The sequence below is a fragment of the Homo sapiens genome, chromosome 18 (assembly GCF_000001405.40).
Source record: "Homo sapiens chromosome 18, GRCh38.p14 Primary Assembly".
Lineage (NCBI taxonomy): Eukaryota > Metazoa > Chordata > Mammalia > Primates > Hominidae > Homo > Homo sapiens.
The window spans coordinates 12,518,812-12,539,593 of record NC_000018.10 but is presented as its reverse complement, the minus strand read 5'-3'; the positions used below and the strand labels follow the sequence as shown (position 1 = coordinate 12,539,593).

At 38.7% G+C, this 20,782-nt stretch overlaps 1 protein-coding gene and 1 non-coding gene across 15 annotated transcripts in view, besides 1 other annotated feature; both read left to right on the top strand.

The window, feature by feature from the left end:
- SPIRE1 (spire type actin nucleation factor 1) overlaps nt 1-20,782 on the top strand; it is a 215,580-nt gene that overhangs the window by 122,498 nt on the left and 72,300 nt on the right. For all 14 annotated transcript variants that reach the window (NR_197429.1, NM_001394323.1, NM_020148.3 and 11 more), the window contains one exon: nt 3,993-4,118. Coding sequence is in view for 13 of the 14 variants with exons in the window: in NM_001394323.1 (NP_001381252.1) it covers nt 3,993-4,118 (126 nt within the window). In the remaining variant the exon portion in view is untranslated. The remainder of the gene's footprint in view (nt 1-3,992; nt 4,119-20,782) is intronic.
- On the top strand, nt 6,069-6,170 carry LOC124904371 (small nucleolar RNA U13). The gene has a single exon (XR_007066489.1). It is a non-coding gene; the product is annotated as a small nucleolar RNA U13 (small nucleolar RNA).
- Nucleotides 10,837-11,037: a silencer, noted in NCBI's record as "peak3058 fragment used in MPRA reporter construct". NCBI's record gives its function as "represses an SCP1 promoter by STARR-seq MPRAs in K562 erythroleukemia cells {active_cell/tissue: K562}" and the evidence as "EXISTENCE:reporter gene assay evidence [ECO:0000049][PMID:32103011]".

The window sequence follows — 20,782 nt, the reverse complement described above, 5'->3', positions numbered from 1 at the left end:
TGTGTGCGTGTGTGTGTATGTGTATGTTTAAGGGTCTGAGATACCCATTACTATTTTTGAGAGGAACGGGATGTTGACTTGTTCAATACTGTATTAGTCCTTTTTCATACTGCTGATAAAGACATAACCTAAAACTGGGAAGAAAAATAGGTTTAATGGACTCACAGTTCCACGTGGCTAAGGAGGCCTCACAATCATGGCGGAAGTCAAGGAGGAGCAAGTCATGTCTTACATCGCTGGCAGCAGGCCAAAAAAGAGCTTGTGCAGGGAAACTCCTCCTTATAAAACCATCAGATCTCATGAGACTTACTCACTGTCATGAGAACAGCAAGGGGAAGACCTGCCCCCATGATTCAGTTACCTCCCACCAGGTCCCTCCCACAACACATGGGAATTCAAGATGAGATTTGGGTGGGGACACAGCCAAACCATATCAAATACTGTGTTTCTTTCTGCCACAGTGCCTGGTACGTAGTTGGCATTTGGTGAATATTGTTTGAATGAATGATTGGATGCTTTTAAGCAGGGGATGAACATAATCCAAATTATATTTATAAAAGATTTTGCCTGTCAGGTGAAGAAGAACCATGTAGACTAGTGAGAGAGGAAGTTAGGAGTCCTCTAATGAAAGAAAATGGTAGCTGTGACCATGATGATGGTGGAGGAGATGGAGAAAAGTAGAGAACTGTCAGGTGGTATATTTTGAAGGTAGAAACAACAAGACTTACTGATGGATTGGATATGAGTGGTATGGGAATAAAGAATAATCAAGGATGACTCTCAGCTGGGCATGGTGCCACACACCTGTAATCCCAGCTATTCAGGAGGCTGAGGCAGGATCATTGCCTGAGCCCAAGAGTTCAAGACCAGCTTGGGCAACATAGCAAGACCCTATATTAAGGGGGGAAAAAAGGATGACTCTCAGAGTTGTTTGAGCTGTCTTTGTGACTTCTGAGTGGAAATGCTAAGTACATAGCCATAAGTGGTTAACATAAAGGGCTGGCCTGGAATAGGGGTTGAGGAGTTACCAGCCTATAGGTGGCATTTAAAGCCATTAGACTAGACAAGGGCAGCTACAGTAAGCAGAGGATACCCAAAGATCCAAGACTGCTCCCTCAAAAACCTCAGTATTTCAGTTTAATTTAGAAGTTTATATGTAGAGCAAAGAGGAGAGACAGATTTATATAAGAGGTTACATAAACCAGTCCTCTCTTTTTAGAGATAAATGGAAACCCAGCAATGTTAAATAACTTGTCCAAGGTCATATAACCTAATTTTGTCCCCCTAACCCCTGATGTCTCTTTTTTTGGAACTATAAAAATGATTTTGTTGCATGCTTACTGTATACCATGCTCTATGCTTTAAGTACTTTAAGAACATTATTCCCTTTAATATAAAGGGAATTACATTTATTTTAGAGTAGAATGGAAAAGAACTTGGGCTCCAGAGAGACTACCTGGTTTCGGTTCCATTTATGCCATTGACTAGCTGTGTATCCTTGGGCAAATTACTTACGTGGTCTAAATCTCAGTTTCCTGATCTCTAAATTGGGTTGTTGCAAGGGGCCCCTTGCAATTCCATATGAATTTTAGGATCAGTCTTTCTATTTCTTAAAGAAAGGCTGTTGGGATTTTGTTAGGGATTGCATTCAATCTGTTCATCACTTTGGGTAATGTTGTTGCCTTAACTATATTGTCTTCCAATGTATGAGTACAAGATGTCTTTCTGTTTATTTAGGTCTTCTTTAATTTCTTTTACAATATTTTGTACTCTTCAGTGTATAAGTCTTACACCTCCTTGGTTAAATTTATTTCTTAGCATTTTTGATGCAATTGTAAATGGAGTGATTTTCTTGACCTCATTATCCAATTGTTCTCTGGCCATGTGTAGAAATACAACTGATTTTGTTTGTTAATCATGTATTCTGCAACTGCTGAAATTGCTTATGAACTCTAGTAGTATTCCTTTAGATTTTTTATGTGTAAGATTGTCATATGCATTTAAAAAAACATTTTTTAGACCTAGCTATTACCTTTACACCAGTGTTTTTAAAGTTGCAGTTTACAACCAGTGAATGGGTTGTGAATTCAATTGAATGTGCAAGTTTTGTTTTGTGAAGCTTTTGTATGTATAATAGGCACATATGCATGTGTTTGTGTATAATATGTGAATATATATAAATTTATTTCTTACTGTGGATAGCAGTTGAAAACTTTGAAACCCAGTGGCTTTATGCCATTTCTTTATGTGACTGGAATGTAAGATTAGGGTTAAGTTACATAAGGTAAAGCCTCAGTTGTTGTCTTTCATTACCTTGAATGACAATTCGGTATTGCAAGATGTTTTCTAAATATAAAAATAATTGAGCACAAAATATACTCTCTGTTTACTAGTGGCTCTGTGAGTAATAAACTTGTGAGATTTCTGCTTTTAATGCTTCTGGATAAAGCAGCTTTTAGCTTTTTTTGCTACTGTGAAGAAGGTTTCCTATTCAAACTAGAGATATTTTCTTGAGAATGTATTTTGTAAAAGCTAGTGATCTATTAGATTGTGTAAGATGGTTACTATACGTGAAAACAGAAAGCCACATTATTAAGGCTATTACAAACTACAAAGATGTCATTTATTCTTTAATTGATAGAAATTATTAAAATAAGATGCGTATTTTTAGTTATTGTATTAGTGTCAAGTTTACTGACTAGTAAGAAATTAAGAGAACTTACAGCTTGTTAGTGCAAATGAAGTACTTTAAAATGTAATGATTGTACGTGGATACAAAATTATTTTATAGAAAGATAAAATTATTCCTGTGTATGGGACTCTTAATAGGATGTCTTTCCAATCTGATAAATTAAATGGTGTTTGATTTTTCTGAATTGCTTTGCATGATACTAAGTTGCACCTTTTACCCACAAGTAGTTGGGTGGGGATTATGGACTATGTATGGTAAAGGACATTAGGGCTGTAGGCAGCACCTGTGGCCTTACATTGCCCTCTGCCCTCTTTCCTCCACTCCCCATCTACTGATGAGGCAGCTTCCCTGAGGTCCATATGTTTTCCTGACATTCTTTTTTTTTTTTTTACTACGTTACAAAATTCGACATGTATTGGAATGAGCCTGGCTTCAGAACCCAGTAAGGACTGACTGTGTTTGACTTCTCCTTCTCCCTCTTGGTAACCATGTGACTATGGACAGACAAGTCATGTGACTCCTCTTAGCCTCAGTTTCTTTTTCCATTAAAATGAGGATAATTCAGCAGTACATTGAAGAGTAAATGGTATTATGTTGTATATACGACATGTCAGATATTGTAGCTGGCATGATAATTGCTTAATAAATGGTAGCTGTTAAAAAACTGGATCCGTCATCAGTATACAATAAACGGTGGTTCTCTTTCTGTTCCCAACCAAAACTTTTACATATGTCCTATCATTTTCAAATAGAAGCTAATTCTAGTAAGCTCATCTGTGCTGTTGGGTCTCTGTTAGTTAGTGGACCACTTTTCCCGTATAATTATGTAGACCTTACTGATGGTCTTGTGGTACATTAAGCCCTGGATGATGGGAATTGCCTGGCTGTCTGATATGAAAATACAGATATGGGGGTGTGTCTGTTTTTTTGGTTTTTATTGTTATTTTTAGATGAAGTCTCACTCTGTCACCCATGCTAGAGTACAGTGGCATGATCTCCACTCACTGCAACCTCCGCCTCCCAGGTTCAAGCGATTGTCCTGCCTCAGCTTCCTGAGTAGCTGGGATTACAGGTGTGTGCCACCACGCCCAACTAATTTTTGTATTTTTAGTAGAGACAGGGTTTCACCATGTTGGTCAGGCTGGTCTTGAACTCTCGACCTCATGATCTGCCTGCGTTGGCCTCCCAAAGTGCTGGGATTACAGGCGTGAACCACTGCACTCTGCTCGTGTCTGTTTTTAAGTACAAAAAAAACCCAAATAGTAACCAAGCACCATTATTTTATTTTCCCCTTCTATAGTTGTGTGCTGCTCATCTCCCTACTGAATCAGATGCACCAAATCATTATCAGGCAGTATGTCGTGCACTGTTTGCAGAAACAATGGAGCTCCATACATTTCTGACCAAAATTAAGAGTGCGAAAGAGGTGAGTACTACTGCTTTGATATTTATTGGCATTGTTTGATTGGCATGCATTTGATATTTGTTGGAAGAGAAACCTAAATTTTCAATATTGTCCGCTGTATTGTTTTAAAAGATTTATTACTATCCTTTAGATGAGTGCTGAAAGTCATTTAGGAAAGAAGCAACTTAGGTAAAATTAAATCTATTGTATTGAAATATCAACAGTGTGAACCATTTAAGAAACAGATTTTCATACAGATTCCTTGCAAATGGAAATAAATGCTACTGAACTAGTTCAGTCCATTCTCATGTGACTTGCTTTCCACCCCCTTTCTGTCGCTCTTCTCTTCTGTCCATTCTGAAACATGTTAGGACCTCTTCCGGGAAGGGATAAAGGCTCAGAAAAGAGGTGACACTCACATCTGATCATTTAACTGTTTTATTTATTATTTATTTAAAAGGTGAGTCACCATGTGTTACATAGGTGGTTGTGAAGATTCAGTGAGATCTTATATAAAATAGCACAGCATCTGGCAGAAGGTGAGAGCTCAGTACATGTTAGGTAATGGGTATATATTAGTCAGGGTTATCCAGAGAGACAGAGCCAATGGGATATATAGACATATAGGTATATGAAAGGGGGCCAGGTGCAGGCTCATGCCTGTAATCCCAGCTACTTGGGAGGCTCAGACAGGAGGATCACTTGAGGCCAGGAGTTCAAGATATATGAGAGGGGACTTATTAGGGGAATTGGCTCATGTCATTATGGAGGCTGAGAAGTCCCATGACAGGGTGTCTGCAAGCTGGAGACCCTGTTATTCCAGCAGCACAGCTCAGTCCAAGTCCAAAGACCAAGGGTAGGAGAAGAAAAGTATATCCCAGCACCAGGAGAGAGAGAGAGACCAATTTTCCTTCCTCTGTTTTATTCTATCCAGGGCCCCAGCCAAATGGATGGTGCCCACCTAAACTGAGGGCACCACTTAGTCCACTCAGACTCACACACTAGTATCCTCTGGTAACACATTCATCTAAATATATACCTAAAAATAATGCTTTGCCAGTTCTCTAGGTATTCTTTAATTCAGTCAAGTCGACACCTAAAATTAACTGTCACAGTATCATTTCTTTTACAACTAACATACAGGGTTTATCAGAAGCACTAGGCTAAAACTTACCATGACCCACAGTTTGGGGAAGAACACATACTGGATATGTAAGCAAAAAAGGAAAAACTAAACTATTTGCCCAATAAGGTGTACTTAACCCTGGTAGTAAGTAGGTGATGGATGTCTCAGGCAGATCACCCTTAATAAATCACCCTTAAATAGATCCATTGTGTATATATGAATAAGAGCTCTAAGCATCCTTCCTCTGCTCTAGCTAGGGTACTGCTTATAGTCTGTCTTTTTATGATAGGGCAATGAAAAGCTTTGCCTTTTTCTTTTTTTAATTTTATAAAATTGGATCAAGGAGGAAAGTTGTCAACAGAGTGGAAAAAAGGTGAACCCTCTGTGAAGAATAAATAAGTTGTGTGTGTGTGTGTGTGTGTGTGTGTGTGTGTGTGTAATGGATTAGCTGTTCTCATTGAGCAGAACCAGAGGAAGTGGGATCTGATTAAAAGCTTCAAAGTGAACATCCAAAGGCACATCCTCAACTAGGTTTTCTCGAATAGTAGAAAAGATTACTTTTTAAGGCTGTCGTTACCTTTCCCAGCTTGTTAAAACTGAGATTGCCTTCCCCAGAGCATTATTTTTAGGGTGTACATGTATGAACCTGGCTACTTTATAAAGCACAGTGCCTGGTTCATCATCTATTTATTTAGAAAGCAAATTTGTTAATAGAGGAAATTAAATGAGCTCTTAAAGTCCTTCCAACACTGGCATTCTTAGAAACTATTTCTGAGCTTAAATAGAACAATATTAGTATTTTTACTACTCTACTGCAGTGAGCATTTAAAAAATGTTTGCTCTTGATCCTTTTGCAGTTCCTAAGCGTGATGATTGGATATTCACACTTGTGTGCGAGATGTTCCTTTTTCTAAACCTTGTTATGTCAGCACATTACTCATCTGATGTAAAAAAAAATTTTTTGCTCTTGATTAAAATTTTGCTTTGCAAGATATGCAAACACACTTTCAAAAAGAGGCTCAAACATTATTAAAGTTTATTTAAAGAAAAAGCTGACAGGTGGAGTAAAACTGCTGTGTGGCAGTGCCTGCAGAAACTGGCCAGGCTGACCGAGGTTGGGCCCTCACAACTGGTTGAAGCTCCAGCCACATCTCTCACTCTGTCACCACCCCAAGACTAGGACTTTATAGGCATTAGTTCCATCCTGTTTTCATATCTCCTTCTCCTCTGTTTCTACTCCGTTGATCTCCATCTCACCCTTTCCCAGTCTTCTCTGGAAACTGCACTCCATTTTGAAAAGAGTCCCCTCAGGCTCTTCTGACAACACTTGTTCCCCTAAGGGTAGTGCTTTCTCTTGCTTTCCTCCTGCGGGAAGCCGATCTCTCCTCTACATCTCCCTGTTTCGATTGAGGTGGGTTTGCTAATATTCTGTCTCTCCTCTGCTGCCTGCCAGTAATCAGCCTTCATCCTTGTTGAAACACCCTTCTTCCTTTGAAGCTCCTGTCATCACTTCTCTCATCTTGAGTGACTTCCTAGACAAAGAAAGCACATAAATTGCCTATCAACACTCAGGTTTCAGGAATGTAAGTTTCTTTCACCTCTGCAATGTATAAGGTTTTCTTGAAATGATAGAACATTTTTATACATGTTAGTTTATGTATGTAAATGGTTTCAGCCTTTTCTCAAAAATACTGTTTTCACACTAATAAATACTATTTGTTAATTTGACTTTTTTCGGAAGATCCCAAAATACTTAATATATTTTAAGAATCATTCTTTATACCTATGAGTTAGTGTGTACCAAGTGGAATTTTTGAAACAATAGACTGATTCAACGAAATTAAAAATTGAGTATCAACAATTTTTCAAACTACCTTATATCTGTGTATATGTGTGTGCATGAATGCATATAAATTGGGGTGGAAGCATAGTGTCAGAACACTTGAGCTCAGTTACTGATAATGTGTCTGATTTGATAGTCCAAAAGTACTTTAATTATACTAAATTTCTTATATGGCAAATTGGCAATTTATTAAAATATAAAATCTACCATCTGTTTTCCAATGTTATACTTGTTCTGTAAAGTGTTAAGTGCATTTACTGAACCTGGCTACTTTATAAAGCACAGTATCTGGTTCATCATCTATTTATTTAGAAAGCAAATTTGTTTATATTCTAATCCCTTTCATGATGTGATGATTTTCTTCTTAAACAACCAATGAACTCCTTTAAGGTCATTCTTTTAATGATAAAGATTTGGGTAGGCCTGCTGTTACTTTGTCTCTTAAGCAATGTGATATCCTTGAAAATAAGTACACATTACTGTGTCTCCTAAGAAATTTGATATCCTTGTAAGTTAAGTATAGCTGGAGGCACTGTCTAAGCAATCCATCGAGTGCATCAGGTTGTATGAAAGAAGAGCCACCCTGCCCTGCTGCCAGTGACACCACCATATTCCAGAGCCATACTGCAGGGGTAGCTGGTGAGCCTGTGCTGTGCAGAGGGGGCAGTTTCAATTGTAAAATTTTTTATTGGAGAAAATGAAATTATATTAATGGTAGTATCCTTTAATCTATTGTGGTCCAGGTAATTTTTTGATCATCAGTCCCCAGTTTTGTTATTGTTAAATAAAATTATTTATCATTACCTAAAACTTTAACCCCTGCTACTTTACTGTCATATTCATACAGCTCCTTTATAAAATGCCTTCTCTTCCTTACTCCATTTGATCCTTGTAACAATCCTGTGACTCTTTGCAAATTAGTAAACTGAGGCTTAGAGAGATTAGAGATTCACATAGAAGTAAGTTCTCAGTGCTGCTGATAACAGCATTTTCATCCTCATCATACCCTTCAGTCCGGCAAAGGTGTTCCACTACATAGAAGTTATTGCTATTTTCCTCTAAGAGTGTCACATAAAATGCATTATTAGATGAAACTAAAGAGAGAGTTCTGAAGAAAATGGAGGTAGATACTTTGATGTAGGTTTCTGAGCAGTTCTGGAGAGAGAATATGTGAGTCAGAAAGACTAAGATTTGGCTTTGGAGAGAAGAGAGTTTATGAGAGAATGTGTGGGCATGCACATGCTGGTGTTAGGGGATGATGGTCCTGCATATGCACATAAATGGGATGGGGGGGTACCATGTAAAGTTGAGGTATGAAATAAGAGGGAGGCCAGGCACAGTGGCTCATGCCTGTAATCACAGCACTCTGGGAGCCCAAGGCAGGAGGATCACTTGAAGCCAGGAGTTCAAGACCAGCCTGGCCAACAAGGCAAGACCCTATCTATAAAATAAACAAATAAATAAAGAGGGAGATGTGAAATGAGAAAAGATAGAGTATCATAGAAGTGTCAAAGACTGAGATAAAATAATTTTAAGACTAGAAAGTCAGTTGATTTTTTTCTGATACGTTCCTAGCATGCTCTAGCCATCATTGCCTCCACGTTGAGAGTGTGCAGTATGCTCACCAAATTCTCCAGTAATACACTGTTTCATAGTAGGGGTATAATGATATTATAGTAGAAACTTGATGTATCATAAGAGTACACTGTTTTAAAAGAATTTTTTGAAAGCTTTCTTTAAAGCAAATAACTCATTTTTTATTTATTTCATAATTTGAAATATTTATATTACCACTGACCTTTGTAAAAGCCCCTTTATTGGTGAATCATACCATTCATTATTCATGTAACTTCTTAAAATCAAATAGCATTTGCAAGACTTCTGTTTACTCATCTTTAAAAATGGGGAGGAAGGCCTGGCGCTCAGTGGCTCACTTCTGTAATCCCAGCACTTTGAGAGGCCGAGACCAGGTGTTTTGAGACCAGCCTGAGAAGCATAGCAAGATCATAGAATCCTGGAATCCTAGCTGCTTGGGAGGCGGAGACAGGAAGATCTTTTGAGCCCGGGAGTTTAAGGCTGCAGTGAACTATGATCTCACCACTGTGCTCCATCCAGCCTTGGTAATAGAGTGAGACCCTGTCTCTAAAAACATAAAAATCGGGGAGGAGGCAAGACATGTTAAGCTTCCGTCTAGTCTTAAAATTTTATGCAGAAAATAAAATTTGCGTGACTAAATTTTTTGTTCTATTTATTCAACAAGCTTTTCCTCATTTTTGTTATTAGTCTTACGTTGTAGGCAAAGTGTATATAGATAAGTAAGTGCATTCCTGGTAGAATTTTCTATGAAATTATTGTATACTATTTTATTTTATATCTTAAATTTGAGATAGATTTTACAGAAAAGCAGTTCAATGCTGTAGATAAATTAATCAAAATTGAGGATGCTGTAGGCCTTTTAAAAACACAGATTTAACTTTTTAAAATTGGTAAGCTAGCTGTAACATTCAATACTGACATTACTACTATATTGATGTCAGTATAGGCTAAAAATAAAATTATTTTCACAATCTACTGGTAGAAAATCCTTGTACAGAATAAATTCGTAATACAGTAACATTAGTCATCAGTGAATGAACAGTGAAAATAATTGTGCATTGTATAGCATGTGTTCATGATATTGCAGCAAGAACTTTATAAGGCATGTAAAATAGGTTTTTAATGTCCTAATCTCTGTTCTCTAGATTATGTACTCAAAGTGATGAAAATTTTCTCTTCCTCTTGCACTTTCTTGTGTCATTCATACACATAAACATCACCCAAATTAAGGTAGAATATTTCAAACATTTTGATCTTTGAGAGATAAGATGTCTAATACAGTTAACTCATCTTGGATTTCTTCAGCAGTAGGCTCTACAGGTGTGGGTTGTCATTTCTGATTATCTGATTATAATGATCTTTGCACTCTTCTCAAGTGTGGCTGTACCTGCGGTGCTTAGTTTCTTGACATATTAAACGCTTCTTATAAGTGTTGTCTTCCTTGACCCTTTCAAGTATGATTTTTTCACTCACACCCTTCATACCTCAGCTGAAAGGACATCTCCTCAGGCCACCCCAGACACCTTTATATATTCAGCACATACTGCCCTTTTTTTTTTTTTTGAGACGGAGTCTTGCTCTGTCGTCTAAGCTGGAGTGCAGTGGCGCAATATCAGCTCACTGCAAGTTCCACCTCCCGGGTTCACACCATTCTCCTGCTTCAGCCTCCAGAGTAGCTGGGACTACAGGCGCCCGCCACCACGTCCGGCTAATTTTTTGTATTTTTAGTAGAGACGGGGTTTCACCATGTTAGCCAGGATGGTCTTGATCTCCTGACCTCGTGGTCCGCCCGCCTCGGCCTCCCAAAGTGCTGGGATTACAGGCGTGAGCCACTGTGCCCAGCCTGCTGTTTTCATTTTAATCGCGTTGCCCTATTATCTCCCTTTTAGCAGCCATCATGGTCTGTAGTTGTTTTGTTGGTCTCTTTTCTTATTCATTGATGTCTGCCACAAGAATATAATCTCATTGAGGGCAGAGACCTTTTCTCTCTAATTCACTGTTATATCCCAGTGTAATGGGGACTCCGTAGATATTTGATCATTGTTAAATGAATTAAAGAATCTGTGGTTTAGCTATTGTAGGTCTGGTTTCTCACCATCTGTCTTGCATCTTGGTCCCCTGATGCTCTTCAGTTATCTCCAAAATGCAGAGCCTCCCTCGTGTTCTCACTGTGTCTACCTTACCTTGCCTCACGCATTGGTTTGACATCTCTTGCCTGGACCATGACAAACCCTCTAATGTTACTTCCCTTTTCATGACTTCTTGATACTTGTAGGTGGAAAGTGTAAACCCCTTAGCATGACAGGGCAGCTGTTCACAATCTGACCCAGTTCTGACCTCTCCAGGCTCTTCATTCACCATTCATCCCTGCCCTATGTGTGCTGGTGTTGCCTACACTTCCTTCATTCCTGAATGTCCAGGGCCTCTGCACCTACCTGAAATGTCCCTTTCCCCTCTTCGCTACCTAGAAAATGCCTGCTTCTCCTTAAGACCTAACTCAAATGTCTATCTACTATTCTGAAATGCTTTTTCCAATCGAAGTCATTCTTTCTTCTCTATGTTCATTCAATGAGCACTCCACTCTGGCATCTTTCTGTCACTTACAACAGTGACACTGTGTTGTAATTACTGTATACGTTTATCTCCCACTAGACTGTGAACTTCTTAAGGGCAAGGACCATGTTTGTACTGTCAGTCCTGTCATAGATTTAGGGACCCAAGACAGTATCTCTTGTAGTCTTTTTAGGTATGTCTCCTTTGCTGCCTCCTCAGCTTAGGGTAACACTGGGGCCTCCATCAATGAGATTAAGTTTTTTTAACCTAATAAATATTAGAGTTGGAGTCTTCTAAGCCTTTAACTTTTTTTTTTTTTTTTGAGATAGAGTCTTGCTCTGTCACCCAGGTTGGAGTGCAGTGGCGCAATCTGCAAGCTCCACCTCCCAGGTTCACACCATTCTCCTGCCTCAGCCTCTCTAGTAGCTGGGACTACAGGCACCCGCCACCACGCCCGGCTAATTTTTTGTATTTTTAGTAGAGACGGGGTTTCACCGTGTTAGCCAGGATGGTCTCCATCTCCTGACCTCGTGATCCACCCACCTCGGCCTCCCAAAGTGCTGGGATTACAGGCGTGAGCCACTGCACCTGGCCAACATATTTTTATTCAAGAAGAAACAGAGGAGAATAGAATCAACCTTAAGATGCCGATTATGGAGTTATCAGGAGCCAGGAGCAGCACAGGAATGGTGCACAGCTAATGCACACCTGGGGCTCCTGGACACACAGCTGCCTCTTCATATTCATTCTGCTCTCCAGAAGTGGGAACCTGAGGGCTGGGGGTTGAAATTGAATGCTGCTTTATTTTCATTAATTTTTAAAATATTTCTAATATAATTTATGTACTTGGGGGAAGAAAGATCCAAAGCCTTCTGCAGCAGCTCTAAGCCCAGACAACCTACATCATGTTCACCGAAAGGCCTATCCTTATATATAAACCCTGGGTATCTCATCCTTTGTTTATGTTAGTACTTTAATCCTTGTGATGTTCTTGTGAGTTTGGTAGTATTACCCTTCACTGCCTCACTCGTGTAGATAGAAAAACTGAAGCACGGTTCAACAAACCTTAATAAAGTAGCTGCCTGTGATGATAAAAGGACTTAAAATTAGACCTAATTTTTAACTTTGTACAAATGATAGACAATAAAAGTTGATCTTGAGGTAGGTCAGGATGTGAGTGAGGTGTCTACAAACCTTAATACAGAAGAAACAGTGGAGGAGCTTGGGATTTTGAAGAAGACTTGACAGAACATAATATCCATATGGAGACATCACAAAGCCTAGTGAATGGAGAGATGCTGGCTGTCAGAGGAACTAGGATCAGTTGGGAGAATCATTTTATTCATGCAAGTTATTTAAAATGTCTTCCGTGGCCAGGCGCAGTAGCTCACGCCTGTAATCCCAGCACTTTGGGAGGGTGAGGCGGGTGGATCACGATGTCAAGAGATTGAGACCATCCTGGCCAACATGGTGAAACCCCATCTCTACTAAAAATACAAAAATTAGCCAGGCGTGGTGGCATGTGCTTGTAATCCCAGCTACTCGAGAAGCTGAGGCAGGAGAATTGCTTGGACTCAGGAGACAGAGGTCACAGTGAGCCAAGATCATGCCACTGCACTCCAGCCTGGCGACAGTGAGTGAGACTCCTCTCAAAAAAAAAATTAAATTAAAAAAAATAAAATGTCTTCCATATAATGGGTGCTACTATGATTAATACTGCTAACGTTTATTCCATACTTACTCTGTGCTAAATGCTGTTCTGACTTTATGTGCATTAATATTCATTGAGTCCTCACAGAAGCCATGTTTTAAGTGCTACTCTTACTGCCTTTCTCACTGTCGGTACGATGGTGAATGAGATGAACATGATCTCTGCCTTCACAGAACTCAAGAGAGTAAGGAGGACAGTGTAGGAGCATGTCATCCAGCACCGTGTTAGAAGGGCCGTGGCCAGTGGGTGCAGGGTGCTGTGGAAGCCACCAAAGGGACCATGCACAGCTTCCCAGAAGTAACTTCGAAGCTGAGACCCAAATGCTGAGGCAAAATAGTGGATGGAAAATGTGTTCCAGGCATAGTAAACAGCACACATGAAGGCCAGGAGATGAGAGCAAGCAAGGTAGAAGGGCAGAGGGAGAAGTGACTTCTCAAACACTGGGACCACTGTCTCAGAGGGTACTATGCAGGGATACTATACAAGCATCTGATGGGAAGATGCACCAGAAGAGTCTATAGTTTTGTGACTACCCATGCTCTGAATGGCTTTCTGCAGGCATCAGATACATCTCTGTGTGTGTGTGTGTGTGTGTGTGTGTGTGTGTGTGTATCTTCAGTATTCTGACCCTAGACTGCTGTACTGCTTTCATCCCTTGTTTAGCATGTATTACTGGAAACCTTTGTGTTCCAGGTAGTGAGTTTCTGAGCATATGATGATCTCTAAGCCTCATTGCTCAGGGAGCTCTGTAACACCCCTAATGAGCAAGGCATCATGGCAAAGAAGATGAACTGCATCCTAGGGAAGATCTTTACGATGCTAGGAATGAGTAGATGGAGTTATAACATACTAAAAGCTAGTCTTTAGTTCTTCAGGTTTCAAGAAATAGAACTCCTTTGTTTTAAAGATAGTTTTTGCTTTAAAACAGAAATCTTGGTAAATCTGTGGCTACTGGGGGGCTTTTTAATCCAGATGAAGCTGGTGTGAGCGAGGAAGCAGGTTCCCGTGTGTATAGTCACGAAGTTCTATACACATGGGATCTGATTTTAATTACTAATGAGGTTCATTTATTGTTTCCTTCCCACTCCAATCCCCCATAAATGCTTGATGTGAAACTTTTTTTTTCTAAAAGCAGCAAGAGAAAAGAATTTCAGGGGTATAATTTTCTTAAACAGATGAAATGACAACAGTGTTGAATTAAATATTGATATTTTAAAAAATGTATAACACAAGCAGGTTTGTTTTTTCTATATTAATGTATTATATATTTTAACTCCCATTTCTACCTAACTAGCATCACGATAAACAATTTTTATCCTTATTTTTAAAATTTTAATAATAGCCTTTGTTATTATTATTATTATTATTATTTTTTTTTTTTTTTTTTTTTTGAGACGGAGTCTCACTCTGTCGCCCAGGCTGGAGTACGGTGGCATGATCTCAGCTCACTGCAAGCTCCGCCTTCCGGGTTCACGCCATTCTCCTGCCTCAGCCTCCTGAGTAGCTGGGACTATAGGCGCCCGCCACCACGCCCGGCTAATTTTTTTGTATTTTTAGTAGAGACGGGGTTTCACCGTGTTAGCCAGGATGGTTTCGATCTCCTGACCTCATGATCTGCCTGCCTCGGCCTCCCAAAGTGCTGGGATTACAGGCGTGAGCCACCGTGCCTGGCCACTTTTTTTTTTTCTTCTTCCTAGAGAGACACGGTCTCACTCTGCTGCCCAGGCTGGAGTGTAGTGGGGTGATCATAGCTCTTTAGCTCCTGGGCTCAAGTGTTCCTCCTGCCTTAGCATCTCAAGTAGCTAGGACTACAGGTGTTCACCACCATGGTTGGCTGATTTTTTTATTTTTATTTTTGTGGAGATGGGGTCTTGCTATGCTGCCCAGGTTGGTCTGAAACTCCTGGCCTCAAGTGATCCTGCCACCTTACCTTCCCAACGCACTGAGATTACATGCATGAGCCATTGTGCCTTGCCTGTTATTACTTTAATGTGTAATTCTGCACAATTCACCAGGCACGGTGTCTCATGCCTTATAATCCCGGCATTTTACTGTGAAAAACTTAAATGTTAAATTATTCATCTTTGCCTTCCAATCTGTTATACTGAAGAAGTAAATTGACTTCTTTGATCTTTCATTTCCCAGAATATTTCTAAAGTTTTCCTAGAGAAAAGAAAACATTTTTCCCCCCATCAGTATAAATAGCTATGCTGTTTAAAAGTAGTATTTTGCCAATTTGTGATTTTCTAAATGTTTAAATGATTCTCACTTACATGGGATTTTGGTTTAAACCTCATCGGCCAAATTCTTCTGAATGGTTAAATCTTACCCCAAATTTAATGAAATCCTAGGATGGGAGGATGAATTATAGATGCCCAGATTAGAGCCAGTTTATCTTTAGCTGCTAATATTTGACCAGACATTACAATTATGGGGTAAAACAATGAATTGGATATAAGCATGGCTTATGAATTTTTCAAAGTATTATATGAGTATATTTTACACAATATAATCCAATACATATAGAGAAACTTTGTTAAGTGATTTATAGGCATACCTCAGAGATATTGCGGGTTGGATTCCAAACCACTGCAATGAAACAAATATTGCAATAAAGCAAGTCATACAAATTTTTTTGTTTCCTAATGCATACAAAATTAATTATCTTTATGTATATTATAGTCTATTAAATGTGCAATAGCATTACATCAAAAAAATACATACTTTAATTAAAAAATACTTTCTTCCTAGGAGTTTGAGACTAGAGTGGGCAATGTAGTGAGATCCTATCTCTGCAAAAAATAGTTTTTAAAAAAATTAACCTGGCATGGTGGCTCATGCCTGTAGACCCAGCTACTCAGGAGGCTGAGGTAGGAGGATTGCTTGAGCCTGGGAGGTCAAGGCTGCCATGTGGTGTGATTACACCATTTTGCACTCCATCCTGGGCAACTGAGTGAGACTATGTCTCAAAAAAAAATAAGAATAAAAATACTTTATTGCTACAAAATGCTAGTGATCCTCTGAGCCATCAGTGAGTTGTAATCTTTTTGCTGGTGAAGTGTCTTGATCCGACATTAATGGCTGCTGACTGATCAAGGTGGTGGCTGCTAAAGGTTAGGGTGGCTTTGGCCCTTTCTGAAAAATCAGAATACATTGTAGCATACAGTGCTGTTTGATAGCACATTACCCACAGTAGAACTTCTTTCAAAATTGGAGTCAATCTTCTCAAACCCTCCTGCTGCTTTATCAACTAGATTTATATAATTTTTGAAATCTTTTGTTGTCATGTCAATAATGTGCACAGCATCATCACCAGGAGTTGATTCCATGTCAGTAAACTACTTTCCTTGCTCATCCATAAGAAACAACTCCTCATTAGTTCAAGTTTTCTCATGAGATTGCAGTAATTCAGGCACATCTTCAGGCTCCACTTCTTATTCTGTTGACTGTTTCCACCACATCAGCAGTTATTTCCTCCACTGAAGTCTTGATCCCCTCAAAGTCATCCATGAGGGTTGGAATCAACTTCTTTCAAACTCCTGTTGATGTTGCATTTTGACCTCCTTTCATGAATCACCAGTGTTCTTAATGGCATCTAGAATGATGAATCCTTTCCAGAAGGTTTTCAATGTGCTTTGCCCAAACCCATCAGAGGAATCACTGTCTATGACAGTTATAGCCTTACAAAATGTAGTTCTTAAATATGACTTGCAAGTAAAAATTATTCCTTGGTCCATGGGGCTGTACAATAGATGTTGTGTTAGCAGGCATGAAAACAACATTAATCTTGTATATTACCATCGAGCTTTTGGGTGACCAAATGCATTGTCAATGAGTGGTAATATTTTGAAAGGAATCTTTTTTGCTGTAAACAGATGTGCCGCCATCCAGTCTTTGTTGTTCCATTTATAGAGCACAGACAGAGTAGAGTTAACATAATTCTTAAGGGCCCTAAGATTTTCAGAATGGTAAATTAGCATTGACTTCAACTTCATCACCCACATTAGCCCCTAACAAGAGAGTCACCCTGTCCTTTGAAGCTTTGAAGCCAAGCACTGATTTCTCTCTAGCTATGAAAGTCCCAGATGGTATCTTCTTCCAATATTAAATTGTTTCATCTACATTGAAAATATGTTGTTTAATGTAGCTACCTTCATCAGTTAGCTACATCTTCTTGATAATTTACTGCAGCTTCTACATTCAGCACTTGCTGCTTCACCTTGCACTTTTATCGAGCGATGACAACTTTTTTTCTTAAACCTAATGAACCTATCTCTGTTAGCTTCAAACTTTCCTCCTGCAGCTTCTTCACCTTTTTCAGCCTTCATAGAATTGAAGAGTTTGAGCCCTGCTTAGGATTAGGTTTTGGTTTAAGGGAATGTTGTGGCTGGTTTGATCTTCTATCCAGACCACTAAAACTTTATACCAGGAATTAAGGCTGTTGTGCCTTCTTATCATTCATGTTCACTGGAGTAGCACTTTTAATTTCCTTTAAGAGCTTGTCCTTTGCATTCACAACTTGGCTGTTTGGTGCAAGGAGCCTAGCTTTCAGCCCATCTTTGCTTTTGACATCCTTCCTCACCAAACTTAATCATTTCTCGCTTTTGATTTAAAGTGAGAGACTTATGACTCTTCCTTCCACTTGAACACATAAAGGCCATTGTGGGGTTATTAATTGGCCTAATTAAATTATCATTGTGTCTCACGGAATAGGGAGGCCCCAGGAGAGGGAGAGAGATGGGGGAATGGCTAGTGAGCGGAGCAGTCAGAACACACGCATTTATCAATTAGGTTTGTTGTCTTATATGGACACTGTCATGAGCACCCCAAAGCAATGACAATAGTAACATCAAAGATCACTCCTCACAGATCTCCATAACAGATTTAATAAAAAAAAAATGGAATATTGTGAGAATTACCAAAATGTGACAGAAAGATACAAAGTGAGCACATACTCTAGGAAAAATGGCACCAATAGATTTGCCGAACTCAGGGTTGCTGCAAACCTTCAATTTGTAAAAACACGATATCTGGCCAGGCATGGGGTGGCTCACATCTGTAATCCCAGCACTTTGGGAGGCTGAGGCGGGCAGATCACTTGAGGTCGGGAGTTCGAGACCAGCCTAGCCGACATGATGAAACCCCATCTCTACTAATACTACAAAAATTAGCCAGGTGTGGTGGTGCACGCCTATAATCCCAGCTACTCGGGAGGCTGAGGCACGAGGATCCCTTGAACCTGGGAGGCAGAGGTTGCAGTGAGCTGAGATCACGTGCCACTGCACCCCACCCAGGCGACAGAGTAAAACTGTGTCCAAAAAAAAAAAAAAAGTATCTGCTATGTACAACAAAGCGAAAGGCAGTAAAATGAGGTATGCCTGTACATATATTATTTCAGTTAGCCCTATGCAAGAAATCATAACTTGATGAAATTATTGAGCTCGGTTTATCTTAAATAAAACTAAAAAATATTTTACCTAAAATGAAAAACTATATTCATGTATATAAAGTATCTTCTTTTGCTGGGGGAAAAACAGTGTTTTCTAAAATGACTAGGCTGTTATGAAATGGTTTTGTCTGTTTTTAAAATCTTATAGCCACATTTTATAGTCTGTAAATTGGTTGAAAAATCAAATGTAAGTATTTTCCACCCCCCAATCTCTTATCAAGCCAGTAGCCAAATCCGCCAGTGTCATAGGGCCAATTGCATGTTAACTAACTCACACTGGGACACCTGTTTGTGACATGACTTCAACTTATTTTCTGCTTGAATAGCCTTGCAAAGAAAAAGCCCCAAGACGTCTGTCTCATTCACAGATTGAAGGGTATTTTAATCAGCTTTCTCATATTCCTTGCCTATTCCTCACCTCATGCCAACACCTCCAATAATAAAATTCTGGCATTTAAGTTGGCTGGAAGTTTCTTTCTAGACCTAAAATAGGTTTATATCCCTCCAAGTGGTGAACATACCACTTTTTGACAGAAAATCCACCACCAGATGTCTTTTTGTAAGTGTGCCATGTGTTCGTTTTAATGAGATCATTCATCATTTGTAATGTTTAGGGTCCTTGCTGCTGTCTGTCTTTTTTCTGTTTGATTTGTTATTTTTGTTTTGAGTGTTGGTAACATGCCGAGCACTGGTGTCTCATCAGGGAGGAGTAAATCTCTCTCTGACCTCCTGTCATTGCTCTTAGCGCTGCTCTCCCTGTTAAAATGTTTCACAAGAATATTTTACTGAAAGCTCGTGGAAGAACTCTGCCACCTTTCAGATCCTGCAGCTTTTAAAACTTAATTTATTTTTAACAAAAAATTTCACGTGGTTCAAAACCCAGGAGTTGTAAAAATATTACATTAAATTGTACCCTTCTATTTTTGTCTACTACTCACACTCTCCCTATATATGGGCAACAAATATTATTAATTTCTTTTTTATCTTTGCAGAGAGATTTTATGTATAACTAACAAGCGCATATCAGTATTTTCTTCCTTTTTTCACTTTTAAACTTTCCTTTTTTATTTAATTATATGTCTTAGAGATCATTTCATATCAGTAAATAGCTTTCACATCTGTAGGCCTTTATAATCTATTTTGTGGGTATGGTGTAATGAGTTTAACTAGTCCTATATTGACAGCTACTAAGTAATTTCCATTCTTTTTCTATTACAAACAGTGGTGTCATGGATAATTTTTAACCTATTTTTCTTGAGTGTGAACATAAGTGTAAGGTAGATTCCTAGAAGTAGACTTGCTGGGTCAAAGGAAATGTGCATTTATAATTTTTATAAAATATTACACTATTGTCCTTCCTAGAGGTTTAGTAGTTGATACTGTCCTTAGCAATGTGTGAGGCTATCTATTCTCCTACATCTTGACAATGTGTTTTCACAGTGATAAGTGAAAATTAGTATCTTAACAATTTTAATTTGCATTTGTCTTATTGTAAATGAGATCAGATATCTTTTCATGTACTTAAGAATCATTTGTCAATTGCTTGTTCATTTCCTTTGTTCATTTTTCTAATGAGCCATTGGTCTTATTAATTTGTCTTTATTTATTAAGAAAATAACTTTGTGATATAATTTGTAATATTGTCTGTGATATTTTAATGGTCATTTTTATCATCATCACTGCATTTCTATAGGTGTGAAGAGCTGATGAGTATAAAAACAGAAAAGGTGAATGTGTATTAGCAGATAATGTCAGTCCAGCTATGTAGAGCAGAGTCAGTCCAGCTATGTAGAGCGGAGTCAGTCCAGCTGTATAGAGCAGAGACATTTGTTAGAGAGAGAGTGTTTGCGTGTGTGTGTGTGCGTGCGTGTGTGCACATGTGTGTATAGGTACAAAAAATACTGGAAGAATAGAGGAATTCTAGGAATTCCTTTCCTAGAACCTAGAAATGAATTGCTTTCATTTTTATGACTTCATCTATAGTTTTTCTAATTTCTGTAGTGAACCATATAAATTCGAATTAAGTAGTACAGAATATCAATTTATAGTTTAACATTTTACATTTTTTATTCAATAAAATGCTCTTGACTTTTTTCATAATTGCTATAGTTGTTACTTGGCCACCATCCACCCCTCAGGGAGGAGAAGCGTGTTATATCTTTAAGAATGCACCATAAAGTTTGACACAAATATAAATCATATTCTTTAGTACTTATCCATTAACTCTGCATGGGAGACTTCCAGTTATCAGAACAACTGCTATAACTTTTTACTGGGTTTTTGTACCCTAATTTCTGAAATATTAATTTGGGACTAGTCAATGTGATAAAATCTTCTTTCCCTCTTTTCAGATAAAATATATTTGAATTAAAAAGTCATAGCTCATAATCTGTGTGGCTGATATTCA